The sequence below is a fragment of the Homo sapiens genome, chromosome X, assembly GCF_000001405.40.
Source record: "Homo sapiens chromosome X, GRCh38.p14 Primary Assembly".
NCBI classification, from domain to species: Eukaryota; Metazoa; Chordata; class Mammalia; order Primates; family Hominidae; genus Homo; species Homo sapiens.
Window position 1 is genome coordinate 116,436,534 of NC_000023.11, and position 26,831 is coordinate 116,463,364.

The window sequence follows — 26,831 nt, forward strand, 5'->3', positions numbered from 1 at the left end:
TGACACTACTGGACACCCAGGAGGGGGAGGAGAGAGCTTCTCTTCATAAATGTTCCCACCCCTGGGCAAGGTGGCTCACTCTGGCAGGTAGGAACAGGGGAGAGTGCACCTGCTACCAGTCAAGCTCAGCCAGACTGCAAGAGGAGGCGAGGCGGAGCCAGCCGAGGGAGTGAACCATGGACAAGTTGAAATGCCCGAGTTTCTTCAAGTGCAGGGAGAAGGAGGTAGGGGTCTGGGAGCTGCGGGAGGTGTGGAGGACCTGAGAGTGGAAAACTTAAGGGGGGTTGCTAGTCTCAGTTTTTGCTTTCTGTGGCTGTTCCTTGTGCTCCACATTTCTGTTCAACTATTAGGTGTGACTGAGATATACCTATAGAGTAGAGAAGAAAGAAAAGCTCTTACTCTCATAGCTAGAAGACTTAGGGCCACCTCATCCTCTGCCTTGGGAGTACCCACAAAATCCTGTTCTCTATCCCTCTCCTAACTGTGTCCACATGCTAGAGGAAAGTACAAAAGTACACTGTTCTTAATTGACCCAAAGAACCCTCCATACCCCAGAGAAGTGAGCAGGTTGGGAGAGAACCCCTGTCCCTTCTCTCCCTCCCAAGTGGAGAGAGAGCTACTTCATCTGGTGAGACAGGAGAATTTGTCTCTGCATATTATTCTACGGCTTTTAGAAAGGCATTGATTTTAATCTGTAAGACAAAGAAAAGTTAAACTACCCTTAACTTGATACATCCAATACTATCAAGCCATAAGAAAAGTTTATAGATTCTCGTTTTTTTTTCCAGCAGACACTACATTTGATCCTGCTCAAAGATCTGCTACAATATCAATATTGATGACTTTATCTAATTCATCTTTAAGACTTTTGTATTTGAAACCTGATTTGTCTACTTTCATTTTTCCCTCACACCAGTGTGACAAAGACCTTTGTATTTCAAACCTAATTTGTCTGCTTTCATTTGTGTCTCACACTGCTGTCACATTTAACGTTTTTACCAAAATTTGAATAATCTTAGCTGATGGAGTAATAAACATATCTACCTACAGAACTTTGCTCATTTTAAGAGGTAAATGTTGTAAAGTAAAAGCAGCTATCAGCAGAAATCTCCCCAACTTTCTAAAGCATTCCCCTCAGCTATGGTTTTCAGGGTTTCTTCCCCCCATTTTCTGTTGCTCTATGGATTTGTGAAATTATGCTTCTGTGGAATTTGTAATGGTAGAAAGGCAAGCTGTTGATATTTTTTCTTCCCCAGAAAGTGTCGGCTTCATCAGAGAATTTCCATGTTGGTGAAAATGATGAGAATCAGGACCGTGGTAACTGGTCCAAAAAATCGGATTATCTTCTATCTATGATTGGATACGCAGTGGGATTAGGAAATGTGTGGAGATTTCCATATCTGACCTACAGCAATGGTGGAGGTATTCTATTTCACCCCCACCCTCCCACCCCCGCTTTTCCCTCCAGTTTTAAGTGTGGTTCTGTATGGCTTCTGAGAATATTTTACGAGTTGAAGGAAGGCATATGACAGTTGACAGTTTGGGTTAGTGGGAGAATGAGAAACAAGCATATTGAATTTATTATTAGTCTGGGTTACCAGCTCAAGTTAGAAACCTAGTTTCACAAAATCCTCAGGTATAAACTTGATAAAAAGCTTTATTTTTAGCACTTCTAAGCTTCTGATTTGAGATCTCACATAATCTTCAACTATGACATACTTTTCCTAATTTATGCATGTTTCTGTGATAATCTGTTCAAACTCAAGTTGTGCTTTGCTTAATTTATAGCTGAATCAGAAATAAACAGAAAAATAAGTTCTATTAAGAAGCTCAAATAAATTATTTGCTTAACTAAAATAATGCATTACATTTTGGTGACTTAAGTGTTGAAAGAGATGATTAAAAAGTAATTAAAGGTTTAGTATTTTAAGTTGCAATATTGAGTTACATGTATTCCAAATTGGACTGACTATGTAGAAGATCCTTCTAAAATGAAATAATTTAGTTCAAGGATTGTTGTTTTATTCCTGCAAAAAAACACTGTTTATACCTTGTAGATCATTAGGGTAGACTCAATTAGAAAAAGGAGAGAAAAATCACTTTGAGGTGACACACAAAGGGAAACAAAATGAATTGCACAATTCTCTAGTAATGTCCAAACAACTTTTCACTTACACCATATTTTATTTACTCGTAATTACAGGTTCTATTAGAAGTATAGAGGTGACATGCCCCTATATTTCATAACTGGGTACCAGTGAGACTGTGCCACTATAATTATTTTTCTTAGTATAATAGGATTTTGTGTGGTGATATTTCAATCATATTTCTTATTAATTGGTTACATTAAAATATTCACAGTGGTCTTCAGAGACTTAAGAAAGAAGCTCTGTTTATTAAACCGTTTAAGTGTCAGTAGCATGAATTCCCCTATCTAGAAGCTGGGTCATTTAGTTGTCTTGGTATCGAATATTAGCTGGAAAATGCATCAGAAATCACAGTTTTATTTCCGTCTCTGTCCTAAGGTCCAGTGTGGTAAAGAGAAGCATTCTGGATCATTTTGAGCCTCTTGTAACTCATGTTTAGAAAAAGAAATTCCCTGTGCCTTGACATCATACATAGGCCCAGTAATTGCCACAAATTTCTAGGAACTATATTAAACTAGTTTTAATAGAAACTTTTAAAATATAGCCAAAACAAAAATAATAATATTAATTGTATGCTATTATCTTTTTCACCATTTCCTCTAAAATTTAATATGCCGTATTGGCTTTCAATTTTTTATAAAAACATCATTTGGGTAATAGATGATCTAGGCACTCTCAATCCTTCTTTCATCCAAGAGTAGAAGAGGAAAATGAAATTAAAATTTGTTAAATGCGAATTAGGTTTAAAAATATGGTCAGGTTTGAAAAGTTGTTTCTAAAATCTGGAAATATTTTTATCTGTATATTCTTTTTAACAGTTTATTAAAGAGAAGTGTCATACCACCTTAAGGTCTAGGTCTGCAGTATTGACAATTTGTGGCTATATTAACTATATTAACAATTTATCATCTATGGATAGTATTAATAATAAAATAATATAATAGGTGAAAAGTCAGGTATAACACTGAAGAAAATAATCTTTTTTAACAAAAAATACCTGTTCACACTCGGCTGGTAAAGCTTGTTTATTGTTGTAGTTAAACAGTTGTATTTTTTTTTTCGTATTTGTCATTCATAGGACTTAAACTTCTACTAGTCATAGTAAAGATGGTATGTACATTGCAACATCTATACAAACATATTTTTCCCTATGGTCTAGTGACTTCCAGGGTTAGTATTAAAGTAAGTCACTTACCTATGAATAAATAACAAGTTCTTTATAGACTCATTTTTAGTAGAATGTATTTTGAGAGTTGAAAAAAATGTTATTCCTAGGTATGATGTTACAGTATCATAATATGAAAAATACTTGAGGCAAAACTGTAACATGAGTAAATTAAATGTATACAATCTGAAAACCCATTTTTATCCACTGATCCCCACATTCTTTATTAAACTTTGCCAATTCTTCTGGAATGTTTTATTAATAAGTTTAATATTCTGCCCTTGCTTCAACGTATAATTTGGCAAAACTTCTAATGAAAAATACTATGCCCCAAAAGTGGAAAGAAAAAAAAAGGAAAATGATAAAAGGTTAAAAGGATGGGGGAGGTGAATTGTCTAGTGTGGGAGAATTATTCCTTGTGAAATTGAAAGTTAACTACAAGTATTTCTCAAAAGTTCAGAGTCTTCAAACAAAACCAATACATTTTGTATTAACATTGAGTGAAGAACCTTGTGACTCTTTGGAGAATAATAAACTTAATTGCAATAGCTTACACTGTGAGCCACATTAGCATTTTAACTCCAAGTCTTAAAAATAGACCATTTATTTTTAAAGGAGAAAGAAAGATAACCAATGTTGAACATGGGCTATGTGCCTGGCATTTTGGCAAGTGTTTTCACATAGGCCCTGTATTTGAACCCTTATGACAAACTGAGTTGGCATTGTTCTCCCCTTTTATAAGGAATCCAAGATTCAGATGTTAGGCAAATTGCTGGAGGTCACATAACTGGTAAATGGTCTAGCCAGGATTTCAACCTAGGTTTACCTGGCTCCAATGCCTGGGATCGCTCAATTCCTCTGGCTTACTTTCTATACTCTACCATTTTTAATAATCACAACAGCCTCATTAGGTAATACTAGCATCCCCATTTCATAGATGAGAAATCCAAGGTTTAAAGAATCAACTACTTATTCATAGAAAGCAGTGAACTTTAGGCCCAAACCCAGCGCTCTTTGATTCCAATATATCAGGATGCTTTTAAAGTGTTATGCTGGTTGTCAAAGTGCCATCAAGACTTCGAGCTGTAATAGTGCTTTGGTTCTTTCTCACCTTTTTTAGGCGCCTTCTTGATACCTTATGCAATTATGTTAGCATTGGCTGGTTTACCTTTGTTCTTTCTGGAGTGTTCACTGGGACAATTTGCTAGCTTAGGTCCAGTTTCAGTTTGGAGGATTCTTCCATTGTTTCAAGGTTGGTATTAAAGCGTTTTCTTGGTATTAAAGCATTTTCTTCACCATGCTTTTTTGTATATTTGTGCATATAGCTACCTTCACTGTGAGGAACAAAAAATTGCTTAAAATTCTGACAATTTAAAGCAAAGAAAACATGCATTATTGTTGTTTTGCTGTACAGTTTGCCACTGCAGAATTTAAAAAATCAAATGTTTTTATTTCTGTTTATCATGGGCTGCAGAAATGGGAAGGATTAGAAAGCACGCTAAAGATGGTTAGAAGGGTGTCATTATTTTCCTATTTTCACCCTGTGAATTCTTTTGGCACATAGTCTCATGCTCTAATTTAAAGGCCCTAACTTTTTTCTACTTCATATGTAGTTTTTGTCTTACTGCCTTTGCATATCTTTTACAATGCCTCATTCAGAAAAGCTGAAGGGTAGGCCACCATTTTTTTTCTTGGATGCTCTTAATAGAATAGGACACTGGTAAAGCTTAAAAATGCCTTGTTATTAAACATCAAACTACCTCTTTTGACTGAAGATTAAATATCATTTTGGTATGTGCTAGCTGCTGAAAATTATTTGTTTTCAATGCAACATCAAAAATAAATTCATAGTGAGGTGAATAGAATATTGTTCTGGAAGAGTGGAGAAACTACCTTAAAAGCTAGTTTTGAGCATTGGAGTTATATTCAGCACGCTAAACTGCATTTTGAAACTACCTAGTTAAGGAAACTTTGGATATTTAAATTCAGATTGTTACTGAATTATTTAATTTTCTTTACACATAGTTGTAGATATATCTACACCATCCCTCCAGGTCATTATTTTAGAGGCTTCATTTTCTACTTCTCAAAATGTTGATTTATAGATGAATATTGTATTGGTCAGTGAGTAAATAAGATACAAGCTTTGAATTTTTTTTGTCTAAAGAATGTCGACTTTGCATGATCTGACAAGAATTTGCAGGCTTAACAAGAAAAAGTAATAAACATGGGTTTTTCTTTATGTGAATTTGATGCGCTTACCACAAGTCTTCTGGCCTTGGCCTTAATACCCTTTCTAATCAACTAAGAAACTGCACCAGCAAGCCAATCATAAAATTAAATTTAAATTTAGAAGAAAATTACTCAGACAGCATTAGCCCCTACTCTCCCAGAAAGAAAAAGGAAAAAAGTAATTTAAAACAGTCTTTATTTATTTAGAGACAGAGTCTCACTCTGATGCCCAGGCTGGAGTGCAGTGGTGGATCTAGGCTCACAGCAACCTCCGCCTCCCAAGGTCAAGCAATTCTCCTGCCTCAGCCTCCCCAGTAGCTGGAACTACAGGCATGCACCACCACGCCTGGCTAATTTTTGTATTTTCAGTAGAGACAGAGTTTTACCATGTTGGCCAGGCTGGTCTCGAACTCCTGACCTCAAGTGATCCACCCTCCTCAGCCTTGAAAAGTACTAGGATTATAGGCATGAGCCACCGCACCCTGCCTGAAACAGTCTTTTTTATTTTAAAATAGATTTTGTGGTAATTGAGATACAGCTTTTTTATGAATTAGCAAAGTAAATTTTACTTGAGTTTGGTTTTTATTTTAATTGTTCTTTTTTTTCCAGGTGTGGGAATTACAATGGTCCTGATCTCCATTTTTGTGACAATCTATTACAATGTCATAATTGCCTATAGTCTTTACTACATGTTTGCTTCTTTTCAAAGTGAACTACCATGGAAAAATTGTTCTTCGTGGTCAGATAAAAACTGTAGCAGATCACCAATAGGTAAAATTTGTCAACACCCAAATAGTTCTTTTATATATATTTTTTATAAGCTTGAAGGGTCAAATCATTCTCTAAGCAACTTAGGTACAATTTTAAATGTTCCAAAGGTCACTGGTGAAAGCAGAAGATAGCATATATAATCAGAAAAATGATTAATACAATGTATTAATCTCTGAGAGCAGTCAGGAAGGCTAAATCATGCCTAAGAGTACTTCTTCCAGGCCTAAGTCTTGGGCAGGAGAGGAGAAACTGAGAAAATGATAAAGGGAGAAAAGTGCTATCTAGGATAGTTGTGTGTGTCTCAGGAGACAGTAGGTGTTGTTCATGTCATATGTTGCTAATCTTTGGGATAACGTACCATCCATGTCATAGACTATTACCATTTTAATTACCTATGTATATCAGAGGATAAATTTATAAATATTTAATGCTTCCGAGAAGTTTAAAGGCCTTAATTTGTCTATATACATAGGTTGGATAGGTAAATCCACATACAAAAGTTTGTTAGAGCACTAAACCTCAACTGAAACAATTGTTACTCTATACCTGTTGTTACTATAAATACAATCACAGCTTAAAAGGGCAGACAGTTTTGTAATCCCTCCTAGTTTAGTAGAAAAGATTTTAAGATGCTGAATGTACATAGCTTATTCCATCTGTAAGATTTCTACTCCACTTTTTTCAAGTAACAATTTTGATGATAATTTAAATATGTTACCATTAAAACATTTTCTAGGAAAGTAATCTTCTAAAACTAAGTACATGTCTGTGTCTATATTTTTTATCCTCTTTAGTAACTCACTGTAATGTGAGTACAGTGAATAAAGGAATACAAGAGATCATCCAAATGAATAAAAGCTGGGTAGACATCAACAATTTTACCTGCATCAACGGCAGTGAAATTTATCAGCCAGGGCAGCTTCCCAGTGAACAATATTGGAAGTAAGTATACTAGATGATTTACTTTTAAGTAGATGTTATCTTAAAATTTGTACAAAACAACAAAACATTAATCATCTCCTTCCTTAACTCACATAAATAGAAAAAGGAAAATCAGGACAAATTATATTTCATTTAACTCAAATGTCTACCTATCCCAGGTGATTAGTAGTTACCTGCAAAATTAGCTCATAGTCAGCAATGTGTCTTTTATAAATTAGTTATTAAATGGGCACAACACTGTAATGATTTATGAGGTGTTTATTAGCTATGATTTAGGAAATTGCTTTGAAGAAAACACATACAAATTTTAGACTACAATGATCAAGTTGTAATGATAAATAGTTGGGTGATGAGTAATATTGCTATTTAAAAAAGTGTAATTCTTCAGCAGTTTTGTTTACAATTGTCATTATATGGTAAGAATAGATATGTAGTGTTATATTTACTTTTATTAATTTCAAACGATCTCTCTACTTACTCTATATCTATCCATTACTCTTACCTAATATTGTTGACTCTACTGCTAAATGACCTCTTCTTCATCCACTGTTAATGACCTTTGTAACTCTTTTAAACTTTGGATCTTCAAATGTTCTCAAACTTCAAGCTTAGAAATAAGATCCATGCATGTACCTAGTGAGAATCTTGGAATTTTACAGAAAGTCTGTGGAAAAGGCGTGAATAACAGGATCATTTGAGTTTGATGATATCTATAAGTATGGAATGAGGAAATATTTAATATAATTGTAAATGTTTTCCTCATTATTTTAACATGAGAAAATACTGTAATAGTAAAATAAAATAATCTGACATAAAGTCAATTTATTTACATAAAGGATCTTGAAACAGAGGAAAGTAATAGCTAAAAGAATCAGTAGATCTTTTATTCTGTGGTTTGAAACTTTGGATTGGCTGTGGTTAACTGAAGTTCAGAGCCTGGCCATTTAATAAACTATCTGTGCCCTTCGTATTGATAGTATCTATCAATAAAGGCTCACCGAACTTTGATATATTAATAAGATACAATATTCATGAAGCTTCGACCTGGATAAATGGTATTACAAAACTCAATGTATTTTCTTTAAGTCAAGTGATTCTGTGATCATAAAATGGCTTATGTGTTTCAGTAAAGTGGCGCTCCAACGGTCAAGTGGAATGAATGAGACTGGAGTAATTGTTTGGTATTTAGCACTTTGTCTTCTTCTGGCTTGGCTCATAGTTGGAGCAGCACTATTTAAAGGAATCAAATCGTCTGGCAAGGTAACTTGAAAAACACATTAGATAGCGATATAGCAGCTTTCCAATTTCATGGTAGTTCAATATCAAGCATTACCAAAAGCATGTTTTTTTTCTATAATGGGAGCATTCAAATGTGTGAAAAGCTTTCTAAATAGTGATTTTAAGCTCTAAGTAAATACATAGGATCTCTGTTATTGCTAAATACAAAACAAACAAACAAAATAAAAACTGGTACTAGAGGTGCACATTTCCTAAAAACATGGACCCTTTTAGCTGATAGAGCATTCTGAAGCTTAAGAGTATATTATTAAATTTTCTATCCTACTATATAAAGAAGCATCTTGAATGGAATCATACATTGCAATGTATGGTTTGGAAAGTCTAGATCCTTGTTCTATAGAGTAATAGTATCAGGAATCCCCTAGTCGGAGAGAGAGAGAGAGAGAGAGAGAGAGAGAGAGAGAGAGAGAGAGAGAAATGTGTGTGTTTGTGTGTATGTGTGTGTGTGTGAGTGTGTATGTATATATACACACAAACTATATATTCATTCTCTTAAAGATTGCCAAAATGGACACAGAACTTTTTCTCTCAGTGAAAGGGCCTCTTCTGAAAAACATTCTGTTATATTTTCCCACTTCATTGTTTACTTTTATAAACTTGCAGAGAGAATAATGGTAATTTAAGAAAACAACATGAAATTTTCTCTGTGAACAGTTACACAATACCCAGAAAAAATGTCTATGTGTTTTTAACTAGTCAATGGATATTTCCCTAAAGGTGGAGGACAAGAATAACTGGGGATCTTGTCTTTGTATTCTCAGTACAATATCTAGCACGTTCTGTTAATGTTAAGTTGTGATGAGACATGCTGTTACATCACAAAAATACTGTGAATATCACAAATCCAGGGAAAACTTTCCAAAATGTTTTAGTTGCACATTTTTTAAACCCTTGGTTTCCTTTTGATGTTAATATTGAAAGAGTCCATTAAAGGCCATTTACCCAGGCGATTAATTTTTATTGGTCTCTGAATGACTTGTTTAAACCATTTCCTTGGATGTATTATAAAACATAGGACATCTATGGATCAAGGAAATCATCCTCATTAAGGCAAAGCTGGTCTCAAAGGCAATCTGCTCATCTGGAACCATGTGTTATCTAGTACAGAAGCAGAGCACTTGTATGTATGCTATCAAACTCTCTTAATGGTAGCTGTAAGGATAACAGTAACAAGTGTCCAGTATTCACTTCAATATGCTTTTCTGGGATTTGAACATCTGCTAGGAAATATTTTCCTTTTCTTTGAAGACTGAATATATATTAACCAATGCAGGGTTTAAATCATTTCTCTCCTCACCTCAATGCAGTAATTTACTGAGAGAAGACATTCAGTCTCCTCAGACATGTATAAAGATATATTTATCAGAGCAATACATTTAGATCCCAAGTTATCACTGCTGATGTATTATTTATTTACAGAATAAACCTGGGAAATGTGGATTAACACATCAAATTATTTTTGAAATGGATCATTTGAGAGTAGTGAGGACACAAATAAGAAATTATGCTAACTTTGGTATATCATCAGACCCTATGAAATCCCCTGTACTTTATTTAATTAATCTCAACTGGCTAATAATTTTACTTGTATACAGTTATACACCATGATTTTAAAAATAATTTACTAATTTTTGGTTACTTTTCTTGGTAGGTGGTATATTTTACAGCTCTTTTCCCCTATGTGGTCCTACTCATCCTGTTAGTACGAGGTGCAACTCTGGAGGGTGCTTCAAAAGGCATTTCATACTATATTGGAGCCCAGTCAAATTTTACAAAACTTAAGGAAGCTGAGGTGAGTCTTAATTTGGATTTCAAATTATCTGAGGAGGTAAATCTTAAAAGTAAATGCCAAACATCTTTGGTTCCATATGAATATCATAATGTAATAGCTTGCAAAATAATATACAGTTAAATTTATTAGTTTCTATCCACTAGGATGTCTGACTTAGCTAATATTTAACCTGCCATTAATATTCTTTTATTGATGGTGAGATAATTTTTAGAAATAGGATTTTTAAAGTCATTTTTTATTCATATAAACTGAATCTATTTGACCAACAAAATTTCAGGCTTATTAATCTGAAAAACAATATTTCATGCATAAATACCCGCAAGTTGATGATTGGGGCTATGTGATTTATTGGATAAACTCAGACTAGCTTTAGAGATTACTGTTGAAAGTTTAATAGTCTAATATACATTTTAGTTTTCTTCAAAATTTAATATTTGCAAAATATTATCAAATTTTGTCTAGTGAATTGTGAAGTTAAAACATAAATTTGACAATGGATTAAGCATTCCAAAATTGTTACTTATACCAAAAACTTAAACGTGTGCCATGAATAAGAATTGGGTAACCCTATTTCAACTTTGCCTTCAGATAATGGCTGAATGTATCACTGGCATGTAACATCTTTTAAAATTTGACTGCTGAGAGTATTAACAGTAAGTGTACTACAGATAGTATGCTTCTATTAGTATGGTCTAGAATGCTTTCACTTCTTTTTTTTTTTTTCTTTTTTTTTTGAGACAGAGTCTCACTCTGTTGCCCAGGTTGGAGTGCAATGGCACAATCTCTGCTCACTGCAAACTGCCTCCCAGGTTCAAGCAATTCTCCTGATTCAGCCGCCCAAGTAGCTGGGATTACAGGCATATGCCACTGCACCTGGCTACTTTTTTGTATTTTTAGTAGAGATAGGGTTTCATCATGTTGGCCAGCCTGGTCTCAAGCTCCTGACCTCAGGCGATCCACCCGCCTTGGCCTCCCAAAGTGCTGGGATTACAGGTGTGAGCCACCGCACCTGGCCCTTTCACTTTTTTACTAGTCACATCACATTCTTAGCACACATTAAGCTTCTGTTCAACTAAAAACCTGTAATTTTATGTTGAAATCAAGAGAGACTATGTTAATATTATCTGCCATACTACTAATACTATTCAAAATGGATATTAGTTTGCTATAGTATTCTTCATGAAACTCATGCTAATTTCCAGCCATTGCTGTCTTCTTTTCTAAATACTTACAAGAGGATGTGTAATTATTTCTTGTAAAGATTTTTTGTAAGCAGTGCCAAATTTATTAGCTTTTAGTTGTGGAAATCTGTCATTAATTTACAATTACCTTTCTGAAAACTGAAATGCCAATCTTTGGTCTTTGGTTACCTTTTTTTGTGCTCAATAATTTCCACTCAATGATTAATCACATAGCTTTAACTTATTTTATATCTATGGAATTTTCTTATTATAGTCTTGGAGATTAATATACTTTGATGTGTCCACAGGACATCTTAATTTGTTTCTTCATTTATCTTGGGCCTCACTCTTTTTATCCCTGTTGGTTAATCTCTTCCTAATTTGAAGACCATTTTGGATGGTGAATAAGAAACAAATAAAATGGAACTTAGCATTCATCACCTTCTCCATGTTAGGTTATTGAACAAGATAAATTATGTTAATGTACTTGGAAACAGTAAGATTTTATATAAATATGAGCTAATGTACAATTATTTCAATTATTTGTTATATTATACTATCTTGCTAGAGTTGCAACATTTTCCCTAAGAAGTAGATTCACCATTTTCTTTGAAACTCATGACTTTGAGCCTAGTTAAAAATCCCCTTTGATATTCTTTTAGTGGCTTTTGCAAGCCTAAGATATATGGGTTTTGTAGTTCCTTGAAATCATTCTGAAAAATTTATATGACACTTTTATATTGGTCTGTGTTTCAGTGACTCTAACATCTTTAAAAAATCAGAGTGAAACCTAAAGCTCCTTGTGAGACAAACAATTTCATCTTCTCACCCCTTTTCTCTCCAACACGACATGACCCAACTCCTTCTTTTTGGGGTTTGCTGGCAATGACAATTGTTTTTCTTAGATTTTTTTTTATTCCTCACAATATATATTCTAAACATGGAATCATAATCAGGTGTCTTTCCTTTCCTTTGAATATCTGAACTTCATTGAGATCTCCAGGAGAGTAGAGAACCACACAAATTTATAGATAGAGGAGTCTTCAGCAATGCAGAGATTATTTTTCTAACTCCCTCATTTTACAGTGATGAAACTAAGACTTACATAGATTCGATTTTAGCCAATTGTACACAGCCAATTAATAAAGTTTGAATTACGATTTCCTAGTCCCTAATGTAATAATCTTGTATATTGGTATGAGATTAACAGATATGGAGATTAAAACTATGTTTGGAATTTCTCTTCCCTTTTGTTTGCAACCTAGCTACACATCATGGTATTCAGTAGCATTCTTACACAACACAGGACTGCCACACCCACTTCCAGCTCCCCCTGTCACACAGGCACATGTAATGTATCAAGTAAAAGAAGCTCAGAGACCAACATGAGCATGCTGTTCATCTGTTAATATGGGCAATGACCAAAGAAAAAAGAGGGCATTTTATTTCTAACACAATTTTCTAAAATATAAGTGAAATAACCATGATCTATCCCAAAAGAGTTTTCTATGAAATTTGAAAACTGATTCTAAAGTTTATTTGAAAAAGAAAAAGGCCAAAACCCCAAGGTGTATCTGAAGTGAAGAGGACTTGTCCTATCAGATATGAAACAATATTTATAATGCTGTACTAATTAAAATAGTGAGGTGTTAGCATAGGTATAAATATATAGACCAGTGGAACAGGATAATAGTCTCAGAAATAAATTCAAAAACAAATGGAACTTGGTATGTGGCAGAGGTGGCAATGCAGATCAATAAGGGAAGGGATGATAATCCAATTGATAGAATTGACATCCAATTGATATCTAATTGATTTAATTGATAATATCAATTATCCTTGAACAATTGATATCCCATTTAGGAAACAACATCAGTTGGAAATTTCACATATCATTCACATATCACATATATTGATATGCACAATATCCATTTTAGGTGAACTGAAAATTTAACAATATAGGCAAAACTTGAATTCCTTTAGAAGAAAATACAGAATAGTACCTTTATAACCTTGGGCTTAGCCGTTTTTTAAAAGTAATAGAGATCAAGGATAATACCTATAGTCAAAGATGGATACCTTCAGCTACAGTAAACCAACAACAAAAACTTTGGTTCATCAAAGGACACAATGTTAAAAGGTAAACAAAATTAACCTACAAATTTTGGAGGAAAAAAAATCAACATATATAATAGTCAAAAGATTAGATTCCAAATTACATCAAGAATTTTAAAAACCGAGTAAGACAGCCCAAACCCAAAACTGGCAAAAGACATGACCAGGAATTTCACAGAAAAAAACAAATCATATGGAAAATGAAGTGTTTGCAAGTAGGCGGAGGAATGGGAACCCTCACAGCCAGCTGGTGGGAGTGCAAAATGGTACAACCCTTTAAAGAACAATTTGGCAAGATTTAGTAGAAGGGAGGAATACATATACTTTTCGACATCACAGTTACACACCTACATATGGGGAATGTACAAGAATGTTCACAGCTCCATAATAGCAACATACTGAATGATCTAAATGTCCATCAACAGGAGAAATGATAAATTGTGACATATGCAGTGTGGCAATAAAGAAGTGGAAAAAGGCCAGGCGCGGTTGCTCACGCCTGTAATCCCAGCACTTTGGGAGGCCAAGGTGGTCAGATCACCTGAGGTCAGGAATTTGAGACCAGTCTGGCCAACATGGTGAAACTCCGTCTCTACTAAAAATACAAAAAAATTAGCTGGATGTGATGGTGCATGCCTGTAATCCCAGCTACTTGGGAGGCTGAGGCACAAGAATTGCTTGAACCTGTCAGGCAGAGATTACAGTGAGCCAAGATTTCACCACTGCACTCCAGCCTGGATGACAGAGCGAGACTCTGTCTCAAAAACAAAAACAAACAAACAAAAAAGAAGTGGAAAAGAATGATTAAAACTACATATATTTAATTTAACCAAATAAATTTGCTTATATTCTTTCACTTTTGAATTACAAAGTGGACATTTTATATAGTTCAACTTGATGATGGATAAATTTCACAATACCTAATAAAAAATGGCACGTTGTATATGTTTACGTGCATTAAGATAACTTTTCTATAAATTCCAAAACAAAACATTCAAATCTAAGTGTAAAGAAGAACAAAGAAATTATGAGCACAGAAGTCAGGATAGCAATTGCCACTGGTGGGTAGAAGGGTGACAATGATGAGGGAGGGGTACAAAAAGGATTTAAGAGACTGCAACATTTTATTTCTTAAGCTGAGTAGTGGGCATTTGGGTGTTCATTTCATTGTTATTAATAATATATTCATTTGCTTATGTGAAATATTTACACAAATAAAAAATTGAGTATATGTTTTAAAATATTAAATTATTTTCTCTTATAGGTATGGAAAGATGCTGCCACTCAGATATTTTACTCCCTTTCAGTGGCTTGGGGTGGCTTAGTTGCTCTATCATCTTACAATAAGTTCAAAAACAACTGCTTCTCTGATGCCATTGTGGTTTGTTTGACAAACTGTCTCACTAGCGTGTTTGCTGGATTTGCTATTTTTTCTATATTGGGACACATGGCCCATATATCTGGAAAGGAAGTTTCTCAAGTTGTAAAATCAGGTATATAATACTATATATTATCAACTTTGATTAATTCAATGTATCTCACTTATGAAACTCCAATAGAATTTATAGAAATTTACTTGACACAGTCATGATTTAGAATATTGAATTTTCTTCCTCATTTCATCTTATATAATTTTGTTGCTGTAACAATATAATAATTCTTAGATTATCCATGTAAACAAGAGTATATTAAGGAAATATTGCTGAAGAAGATAGGATGTTTAATTTTGTTTAGTCCTTGCTAAGCACTTTCCATGCATTATAAAAGAAAGAAAATGTGTATACAAATTTCCTCTGTACAATTATACTATTGGGTTTGAATTTTTAAAACACATGAACATCATATAGGTGAGAGAGTCAAGTGACTTTGAGTTTCCACTTGTGTCTAGCTTTAAAGGAATCTTAGTGAACTCCCTAACTTTACGGATATTAGCTAGGGATGCTTAATTATCTGGCTACAGATTCTGGGGGAAAATACTAGGGTTGTTTTAAGTAGGGATGCTTCATTAAAATTTTGTTTATGTTTTTAGTATCATATGATGGAAAGACTGGTGATTCATAACAGAATGTCAAGGATCTTGTAGATTATCTAGTGTCCAGCTCCTCATTTACAGAGAAGTGGATTGATACACAGTAATGTCATATATGTCTTGCAGAAGGTCAAATATTTAGGAAGTGATAGAGCCTAGACTAAAAGCTAATTTTCATGAATCCCAAGTTAGTCCTCCGGGAGGTCGAAGAAACTTAAAACTACTTAAAACTGAGGATCACATAATAGAACTGGCACAAAATTGAAAAGCATTCTAAAGGTAACATCAAATGGAAAACAAGATTTAATTTATAGTTTCATTACATACGATTTTGCATATATGCATATAGTGATTCTGGGTAAACATTTGGAGAGAAGGTTAAAAACAAAAGTTAGTTCGTAAATGTATCTTTCTTTAACAGTGCAATTCTTTTAGAGCATCTAGGCTAAGATAATGTGAACTAATTTACGTTTCTGGAATTTAAGATAGTTTTTATTCTTTGTCAATCTTAAAAAATAAGATAAGTTAAATAAAACTATTAAAAGAATTAAAATTTCTTATGTGAGAAATGTACCATTTACATTACAGTCTATTTGCTAACTTAATTCATGTCACATGTTCACATTATCACATCACAAAACAACCAAATTCAATATTGTAAAAAGGGAATGTGAAATAGTTGGTAAAAAAATTTATGTCATGGATTGTGTTGCCAAATAAGATGAGATTTTTCTAATATCTTATGTTTTAAATGTTTAAATATGTGAATATTCTTGGTAACTAATTTATAATATCATACATGTTTCGTAGGTTTTGATTTGGCATTCATTGCCTATCCAGAGGCTCTAGCCCAACTCCCAGGTGGTCCATTTTGGTCCATATTATTTTTTTTCATGCTTTTAACTTTGGGTCTCGATTCTCAGTTTGCTTCGATTGGTAAGTAATACTTCCAGTGGTAACATATTCCTCTTATATTTCTTTTGCATTTCCTCTACTTGAAAACAAGGTGCTTTTATTACCCCTATTACCCCCTCTAGCTGTTAATCTCAGAATGATCTTTCTGAAAGTTGCTTTAAATAAAATTTAAATACAGAAAAATACTTGACACTCAAAAGGAATACACATTAATATTTTATCATACTTGTTTCAGATATTTTAAGAAAATAAACTGTTACAGGTGAATTTGAAGTCCTCTTTCTTTTCCTAATACAATCACATTTTTTTCTAGAAGCAACTCTTACCATAGATTGTGTATGTTATTCTATCCATGTTTATATACATTTTATATGTCTGTACATATCATATACATTTTTAAATTTGCACATAAATGTGAAGTTTCAGAGCATGCATATGACTCTGAAAGTTGTTTTTGCATTGATTATGAATCCCATTGATACACAGGCATATAGATCTAGTTAAATCACAATCTCTTTGTTGCCATAATAATGGGCATATGAATGATATACAATTTTTTAAAAATTACACACACTGCTGCAATGATCATCCTTGCACATACTTCTATGCACACGTAGGGATTTACCTAGGTTACATGACTAGAGAAATTCTGAAACAATTTTCATCCTACCACTCTCTCACACAATATTTTCAGTTTACTCTGTTTATAGGATAAAATCTAGACTTTTCTGGTTGACTTTCAAAGTCCTTGAAAATCTCAAACATATTTTCTGATATTTTCATTCTCACATCCTTCTACTCTTAGCCAGTTCCCTATTTCATGAACACATTTATCTCTTAACCTAGAATCCTTTCTGTTTCCACACCACTGATTCAAATATTTACCTTATTTAAAAGTCCTACTAGAATTCTTCCTTTTAGACTAATTCAGTTCACAGGGGACTGTTACCTTACAGTTGTTATCGATGAAAAATCATATAAAGCAGACTAAAAACAGCAAATAGCGCTGCATTTGATTTTCATCAGAACCAAGTGGTGACTGCCAAAAGAAAAAACCCTGTGGGTTTTTAAAAGCAGGGAACAGGGCTCAGAGTCTATTTTCAACATATATTTGTAAATTTGATTAACATACATTGAATTCTGTGATTAACAGTATTGGCAAATAAGTTGACATATAACATGTCATTTCTCCCCCTCTGAAGAAACGATCACAACAACAATTCAAGATTTATTTCCCAAAGTGATGAAGAAAATGAGGGTTCCCATAACTTTGGGCTGCTGCTTGGTTTTGTTTCTCCTTGGTCTCGTCTGTGTGACTCAGGTATACTACAGCATTTTTTTTCATAGAAACATATTAGTTGGAACATACTTTATAACCTAACTAAAGAAACCAAAGCTTAAGAGGATGCTTAGTGACAAGTCCAGGTCTGACTTGGATCAAGGTTTTCTGGGTTTTAGCCCATTTTTCTCCATTATTACTTTTATAGAAAGTCTATTTTGCAGATGAGGAGGCCGAATAATGGACAGTTACTTCAGTTACAATAAGATTACAGACTTTAAACACATACTACATTTCTCACAGCCACTTCAGAACATACAGACATTGCATACCATTCTGATAATCAACAAATTTAAGTGCTTATTTTCTTTCCAGTGACTCAGTATAGATTGAAAGATTCTTGAGATATTTAAAGTCACATTTGAGTTTACATTTGAAACATTGCTTTTCGCATTTTAGCAGAAGGGAAACTAAGGAGCATATGTCAAGATCAAATAAATAGATTCAATTTGAATATCCCATCAATCATAAAAACAATTAAAATATACTTAGAAGTAATTAACATTTTTTTGGTAGGCTGGAATTTACTGGGTTCATCTGATTGACCACTTCTGTGCTGGATGGGGCATTTTAATTGCAGCTATACTGGAGCTAGTTGGAATCATCTGGATTTATGGTAAATAGTAACTATAAAATTATTTTCCAGTTTTATTAAAATAGTTTAGTTTGATTCATTTTCATTATATTTACCTAATTATACTATTAATTTTTATACTATTATAATAGCAAAGTACAATATACTGCACAACATTATGTTATGTAAAAATATAATTACAGGTGTATGATTCATTGTTGTGGTAGAGAAAAATGTTTAGACACAGAAAGATAATTGATGCCATAATGGTTACTGGAAGAAAATATTAGCAAGCACTCAATGTACTCTTTGTTTTCTTTAGGAGGGAACAGATTCATTGAGGATACAGAAATGATGATTGGAGCAAAGAGGTGGATATTCTGGCTATGGTGGAGAGCTTGCTGGTTTGTAATTACGCCTATCCTTTTGATTGTAAGTAATAATACACCATGAACTTGATTTCGATAATACATATGTTCTAAGATAAACTTAATAATTCACATTGAAGACAAAAGGCAAATTAATTTTATAAAGGAATGATTTTCAAGTTTTGCAGTATTTATGGCTGGTGCCTCCAAGTTGCCTAAATTAAAATGCCTTTGCAGTATTATTTTGAGGCCATCAGTTTAAACATTTACCATTTGAGAAAATAAACAGGTTCGTATAGATGTAAAAGTTATCAGTAATTTAAAATTTATCAATACAAAAAATGAAAATAAAACATGAATTTGCTCATTCCCTAAAAAAATATGTTGAGCCATCAATAATATTCCTAACCTCTCTGCCAGGCACAGAAAAAACAAAGATGCATAAGGCCCAGATCCTCTCTTCAAAGAATTCAGTTTAAATATACTGACTGCTGAGAAACAACAGTCATATTTTAATTCATATTTTATCTCTTAATGAGGGAGGTATTTGGCAGATGATAGTAAAAGAAACTTACCTGTGTCAATAAGGGCAATGGTTTATGTCAATAAATTCAACAATTAATACTATTTAGAAGCTGAGGTAAAGCAAAAGTATGTCTTACTCGAGAGACATAACTTATCAACTTAAAATGTTCAAATAACATTTCAGGACAGTAAATGGCTGAGCACCAAAATAAACACTACACTGGAGGGAGAATGATTATGGACTAGAAATAATGGTGGTGGGGTGAGGCAGTGTCAAAGCTTCATAGATTTATTTTGGTTTTCATTGCCTTCATGCTTCAAAGGTTTTCCTAGAAAAGACCATTAAGTAATTCTATGCAGGATTTCCTTCAAATCTAAAGTACCACATTTGTTTGTAGAGAGGATTACATTTTTTTTTTTAACATTATGAGATCACTTTCAAAAGCTGAGCAGTTTGGAACGAGATCATGGTGAATTAAAATATTTGGATATTCCATATTTTTGCTAAATGATTTTGAAAATGACACTAAATATTTTTATTTGACAAGTCTCCATAATAAAGTAAGCCCCCTTGTCAACTTAGAAGGTCTAGCTGGATCACTTAACAAGCTAATATTCAATGATTACATAAGTTTGACACCTGAATTTAATTTAAAATGCAAAAGTATTAGATATGAAATGATTTACATTGCCATCTATTTTTTATAAAGTCATGTGTATTGGACTCCACTATCCCTCATCCATTCTTTTGTAGTTATGTACATTCATAGTAACTGTAAAGTATATTTAAATTACTGTAATTAAATTAATGGAGCTAAGCCATTTAATTTTAAAATTAAACATAGATCTATTTATTGTTTTCTCGCTGATTTTAATAAAACAAAAACAGCTAAATTTAAGGAAGCTCCTTAATAATTATTGGGTTTTGTTTTGTTTTGCTTTACCAATTTCTAATTAATTAGTTTTAATGCTTCAACATTTCGGGTTTATTTTAACTTGGCCTTATAATGTGTTCATCTTTAACATTCAGATTTGACTGTATTGCCTAAGCAGATATTGAGGGTTTTTTTGTTTGTTTTTTGTTTTTCCCTCAGTAAGATGCTGGAAGTGAAATGTGCTTTGGTAAATGCTCACCAATAATGTGTGTAAATGCATGTGTGTTTTTGATGTGTCAAAAGGGGATCTTTGTGCAGTGGGAAAGAATAGAAGCAATTCCTAAGCAAGGAGAAAAGCATGCCCACTAAGGTGTACTTCACATTCTCATTGTATTAATCTATATGCTGGCATGTAGATTTAATCTATGGCATAGAATAAAACCATGCTATTATAAATCAAAGTGAAAAGCTCAATAACAGAAAATTTCAGATATTATTTTACTTTCAATCTGATATATGGTCAAGTATTTTATTGAAATATATGTTGAACAAGTATTTGGATTTATAAATATATGATGGTATTAATTTTGGAAAAATTTATTCAAAGTAAAAATAAAAGTTATATATTTTGGTTCATTCCATATTGTTATCTTCTGGCTTGTTACCTGATTATTTCAATTATTTGAATATATTTTCATATTAACTATTTTTGATAAATCACATCTGAGGAACAGAATCAAATTGCTAATCATCAGTGCAATAAAGTCTAATCTTTAGCTTTGTCTTTGCATATTTAACTTTGACAGGCAATATTTATCTGGTCATTGGTGCAATTTCATAGACCTAATTATGGCGCAATTCCATACCCTGACTGGGGAGTTGCTTTAGGCTGGTGTATGATTGTTTTCTGCATTATTTGGATTCCAATTATGGCTATCATAAAAATAATTCAGGCTAAAGGAAACATCTTTCAAGTGAGTGCATTAAAATTGTTTATACTTTACACAAAGTAGTTATGATCAAAATGGAGATTAATTTACTCACATGGTAGTAATATGAGATTGTATGAAATACAATTAATTACTCCTTCCTCTTGGCTACTTCTATACCTGACACAGTCATCTGTTACTAGTGCACAACATGGTATTTTATTATTTATATATTTGCTGTGTTTCTCTATGCTAGACTATAAGCTCCTTGTGGGGAAAGTCGGGTCTTATTTGTTGCTGTACCTCTGGCCTTGCTACGGTGCTTAGCATATGACAGCTATGATATCTATACCTATGTTGAGTTGTCTCTGAAGATGTCACAAAGCAAATGACCTGTTTGCTTTATATCCATAGTCACTGCTTTTAAACCTCATCTGGCTATAATATACATCCTAATAGTGTTTTTATACTGGAATAAGCCTGGTAAATATCTCGAACCCAATCTAGAGCCTGAGTCATCCCTCTTCCATGGAGGTGTAGGGGTATGAAGTTCATTATGACATCTCAGTAGGACAATGACAAAGTAGGCTTAGCAGCCTTAGATTTAAATAAATTCCTAAGTCCATACAACAATGGATCCAAATCAGTGGTTTGATCCTGGAACTCCCATTTCCTTTGTTCTTGAAACACATCCCAGGTATACACTGGTTTAGATCCTCAGCTCGTCCTCATCCTAAGGCCAGGATGGAAATGTCTGATTCAGTGAAGGTACAGAGTAGTCACTCTGTTACTCTAATGGGTTCACACACCTTGTTTTGAAATCATTTACTTGCTCAGCTATTTTGGTTTAGTAGTTAATATACTTCTATTAACAACTAGCTACATTTGATTATACCTTTTTCTTGGTAAACTGTGCATTATTAAGAATTTAGATGAACACTTTTTAGTTTTCTATGATGCTTATTTTTTGTTAGTAGAGAAAAAATAATTTAAAGGAAAGTACAGTTCAATATTTGCTTGTTTACAGATTGTAGCACTTAAATTCTAAGACAATGATTTTTTGTTCTTGCATTTCAGCGCCTTATAAGTTGCTGCAGACCAGCTTCTAACTGGGGTCCATACCTGGAACAACATCGTGGGGAAAGATATAAAGACATGGTAGATCCTAAAAAAGAGGCTGACCATGAAATACCTACTGTTAGTGGCAGCAGAAAACCGGAATGAGATCTCATTGAAAAAAATATATGATTGTATAATGTGATTTTTTTTAGAATAGGGGGAACCTTATTTATTTGTGTGTTAACTGAATAGGAAAATGTACATACTATGTTCATGATAGTGTGATTTTTTTCACATTTAAGCAGGAATGCAATATAAAAATGTGAATCTCTTAATTCTCAGCCATGTGCTTATTATATTTCTTTTTAGATTGTCTATCTGTATAACACACACACACACACCTAAGAGTCTCTATTTCACAATTATATTTTTGTAAATAGTATATGCATTTTTAATACATTGGAGGCTTTATTTTGAACTAATTTCTTAGAGAATAGTTATATTTTCTATTACACAAGTTTAAAAATATTATTAACTTGTATTTTCTTAATATACAATCTATCTTTTCCACAAATATGAGTGGGAAATAAATCAGCACATTTGAAAGAAAGTGTTAAAACTGAAGGCCTCACTTAATTAGAAACGTGATAAATATATGGACAAATGGACTATACATACTATAAGAGGACTGTAGTTTAATACTTTTTACCCAAATATGTTTAAAAACTTCGTGCATTTGTTACAGCTCATGTTTTCTATATGAACTTAGTCATTAATGTTCTTTATAAAAAGTGAAATAAGATGGAAAAATAAGGATCCTACAGCCAGTAAGTGATAAATCTAGAAAATTGAGTTTTGAGTACCTCTTTTCCCATATACAATCTTCCTTCCTTAGGTAATTTGGAAGAAAACTATGACCCATTTAATTTCTATTGTGTTTCACAAAATTAAGTGTTGTTCATTATACTCTCTGAAATATAGGTTTAATTTCAAATAGAATATGGACTTAAATGTTAATGAGAAAATGGCTTTAATCAATTCTAGCATTTTATTACTGTAATACAGGGCTGATAGAGTGATTTTGTCTTATATGAGTAAGTTACTACTTACAGGTGATAACTTGCATACTATTGGAAGATAAACTTGTCAAACTTGTCAAGAATGAGAAAAGCCAAATTAGAAAATCCTATGTCCTAGTTTCCTTACCAAGGATAATTAAATATATCACTAAGAGCTTTATATATTGATTATATATTGTTGACAACTGGTTTAAGCATCATAGCCTATGATGATAAACACTGCCTATATATGTAAATAGCTTTTCATCAATTCTTAAATTTCTTAACCTAGGCTTCAGGGAGCATATGAAACCAAAATTATATGGAACATTTTCTGTGTGTACATGTACATGCATTTTTCTAGGGAGAGAGTCCGTAGGTTTATCAGAATATCAAGGAAAACTGTGACCCAAAGAAGTTTAAGAATCACATACACTGCTGCTGGCTTTTTGTGCTTGGCAAATGAGTGACAATAGAAGAAATAATTTTTCTTACACATTTTAAAACGTTTTCTCTTCCTTGTGATTGAAGATGAAAGGAGTAAGAAATTAAGGCATTTGTTTAATTTATACTGGTAACTTATTTAGGGGGGAGGGGACATGAAGGTAGGTAAATAGGTAGGCCTCTAATTGAACCACCTCTCTAAGTTATGTACGTATATATAAGCTGAAATTGTGTTTGACATTCTGAGGGTTTTCTTTTTCTTTTTCCTTTTTTTTTTTTTTGGTGGGGGGCTGGGGGTCAGAGTCTTGTTCTGTTGCCCGGGCTGGAGTGCAGTGGCATGATCTCAGCTCACTGCAACCTCTGCCTTCTGGATTCAAGTGATTCTCCTGCCTCAGCCTCTTGAGTAGCTGGGACTACAGGTGCCCGCCACCACACCAGCTAATTTTTGTATTTTTAGTAGAGGCGAAGTTTCCCCATGTTGGCCAGGCTGGTCTTGAACTCCCGACCTCAAGTGATCTGTCTACCTCGGCCTCCTAAAGTGCTGAGATTACAGGTGTGAGCCACCGTGCCCGGCCCATTCTAAGGGTTTTCTTTGAAGACAGGTCAAATGCTGTTAGTAAGTTTCAGGAGATTGTTAATTCCTCAGTTATACCAGATTTTATAAAATATTTGAGAATAGATGGCTAACAAGAGGTTAGAAATACTTTTCCTTAATTTTAATCCACAGTATGTTACATGCATTCTACCACTACATTTTGGTGCTATTTAAGGTGTGCAATTTTCTATAGGTGACTTTTGCAATTCAGGGAAGATTTGGGCATATTAAATGAAAGAATATCTAATTGGGGGAGGTGTGAAGGGAAAGAAATTCTTTTCAAAAGCTGACCACAAAGAGTAGTTAAAAGTTTTTGTCACTATCTTCACAAGTGTGTAAAGCACAGATTTCAACAGAGTGCTTGGCATATTGTAGGGTGCTCAATGGTGGTTTTTATTATTATTACTCAGATTCCACAGTGGCAAGAAACATCATTCTACATAATGGAAAACATTTACATCAAATCCCACTTACTTTAATGCGAACTTGGAGATAATTTATGGTATTGTATTGTAAACCATTAATGAAAACTTTTTCACAGTTGAGTGAAATTAAAATCACTATATCTCAACTAGTCGTCTACTGTCACTTTTTTATTGTTAACAAACTTTTGAACTGTTTTTCTTTCTCTATTGTGCTTCCATTCCTTCCTCAGTAAGTATATTTTAGCCATATGTAATCAATTACTTAAAGTATAAATAAGAAACTTGGTAAGTATCTGGATTTTTTGTATGTGACTTGGAATCCCCTCCCTCTTAAAAAAATAATTCATTTAGTATAAACACACAATCAAATGAATCTACTCAAAGTGTCTTTAATGATTTCCACCACTGGCATTACATCCTGTACGCTTTTAGGTGGATTTCCGGTGAGGTGATGCACCTCTGAAACCCTTGCTAAGTAGAGTATGTTCCAGTTCAACCAGCTTGTTTTCCACCATACTGAGGTTTACCAATATTCGCTTCTGCCTGGCTATTGAGTGTGGGAAATTATTTAAAATATCCCGAGAGAGGTCGTAGACTGCAAGATTGTTGTCTGTATTGCTGTTAATTAACCCAGAAGAAGAGGGTCTCACTAGTGCAAGAGCAGTTGAATTTGATGACATTTCGCCAGTGTTTCTCTGTAAAGAAAGGGAATTATACATACGTAGTTTATCGAATTAAGCAATTTCCAAACTACCGAAAAACAACTTGTTTAATCTTGGTCACCAAAATAAACTGATTTCCCCTAATATGTCGAGATTAAAAATGTATTGAATTACTACATTAATTCAAAAATATATTCTTCCAAAACCAGACTGAGAAAAAAAATATATGAAAGTAGCCGTTAGTGACAAAGTTCCATATCCTTTCCTTACATTTCCTGTAAGGAAAGCAGCCCAGTAGGTAAACATATGAACCCTTGTCTTTGACTCTTATCTAAAAGCACCTCACTTGTGACTTTAACACCAGAAAATCCACATTCACACTCGAATTATTTGTGAATGCCCAGAAAGCACCATAAAATAAAGATGGTGAGATTAGCAAACAGACACGTGGGAGAGGAGAAGCAAGAGAAGAAAGAGAGAAGGTAAGATTCTTAAAGTGGAGAGATGGTGGTGGGGAATGGGCACTGACAACTGCACTTTGATCTCCAATGAGTGGAAAGCTGACCATATTACTTAGGGACTTGGGGCTTTTTAGAAGAGACCAGAACTGTCGAATCACTGGTCAGAATACAGGAATTGCGGGAGTAAGCGGTAAAAGTCTGGGGCTCCTTTGAGCGAAAAGGAGAGATGAGGTGATCTCCCCTTACCTCTCATTTTACTGTATTTTACTCTCTTACATATACACTCCCAAGTCCATATACTCATCTAGCTTCATCTAATTCAAATCTCCCTTACATTCACCATTACCTGAAAGCGGCGATATTTCCAGAAGACAATCAAGGCACACAGAATGCTGCTCGCTAGGAGTAAATAGAAGTTCATGTTTCCTCTTCGGCCTCTTCTCCCTTCTCGGGACGGACCCCCTCAGCTGGTAGTTGGGAAGCAGTGGGCCTCTAGCCGCCTGGATTTGGGAAACTTTGGGCCAGGATGCCTGGTGTAACTGGGAAGTTCTGTGTTGTCCCGCTTTATGTACGGCTGAGGGCGCGAGACCTCACAATTGGGCACGCAAGCGGCGGTGCCACGCCACAATGAGATGATGTAAAAACCGGCCCTGCCGGAAACCAGGCGGCACTTAGTACCGCCTACCTGGTTAGTTTCAAGTCCTTAGAGAGGAGAGTGAAAGACAGTGAGGAAGTTTGGGATTTCTGGGAAGCCGAAAGGTAGTAGAAGGACAGGCTGTAAATGGATTGGTTAAATAGAATATTTAAAGTGCTCCTACCTTTTAAAAAATATGTCTTTGCTACAACCACTGCTTTATTCACTTCAAAAACAAGACAAAAATGTAATGTAAAAAGTAGTTACCCCCAAATTATCTTTGCCAGAAACTACC

General features: G+C 33.9%; 2 protein-coding genes across 2 annotated transcripts; one reads left to right on the forward strand and one right to left on the reverse strand.

The window, feature by feature from the left end:
- Window positions 73-24,925, forward strand: SLC6A14 (solute carrier family 6 member 14). The gene is made up of 14 exons (NM_007231.5): window positions 73-224; window positions 1,257-1,422; window positions 4,433-4,564; window positions 6,154-6,315; window positions 7,110-7,257; window positions 8,385-8,517; window positions 10,208-10,348; window positions 14,909-15,137; window positions 16,484-16,609; window positions 17,791-17,909; window positions 18,444-18,543; window positions 18,824-18,933; window positions 21,076-21,243; window positions 22,276-24,925. Exons 1-14 carry the CDS (start codon window positions 177-179, stop codon window positions 22,420-22,422), a joined length of 1,929 nt encoding a protein of 642 aa, NP_009162.1. The 5' UTR covers window positions 73-176; the 3' UTR covers window positions 22,423-24,925.
- On the reverse strand, window positions 25,153-26,443 carry CT83 (cancer/testis antigen 83). Its single transcript, NM_001017978.4, has 2 exons — window positions 26,249-26,443; window positions 25,153-25,474 (listed from the first exon to the last, which is right to left on the reverse strand). The coding sequence occupies exons 1-2, from the start codon at window positions 26,321-26,323 to the stop codon at window positions 25,208-25,210; spliced, it is 342 nt and encodes a 113-aa protein (NP_001017978.1). The 5' UTR covers window positions 26,324-26,443; the 3' UTR covers window positions 25,153-25,207.

Excerpts from the sequence above, each read along its gene's own strand:
- SLC6A14 (NM_007231.5), top strand. The coding sequence starts at position 177 with ATGGACAAGTTGAAATGCCCGAGTTTCTTCAAGTGCAGGGAGAAGGAG. Across the intron at positions 225-1,256 it reads TCAAGTGCAGGGAGAAGGAG|AAAGTGTCGGCTTCATCAGA; the intron begins GTAGGGGTCTGG and ends TTTCTTCCCCAG. Across the intron at positions 21,244-22,275 it reads CTAAAGGAAACATCTTTCAA|CGCCTTATAAGTTGCTGCAG; the intron begins GTGAGTGCATTA and ends CTTGCATTTCAG.
- CT83 (NM_001017978.4), bottom strand. The coding sequence starts at position 26,323 with ATGAACTTCTATTTACTCCTAGCGAGCAGCATTCTGTGTGCCTTGATT. Across the intron at positions 25,475-26,248 it reads GGAAATATCGCCGCTTTCAG|AGAAACACTGGCGAAATGTC; the intron begins GTAATGGTGAAT and ends CTTTCTTTACAG.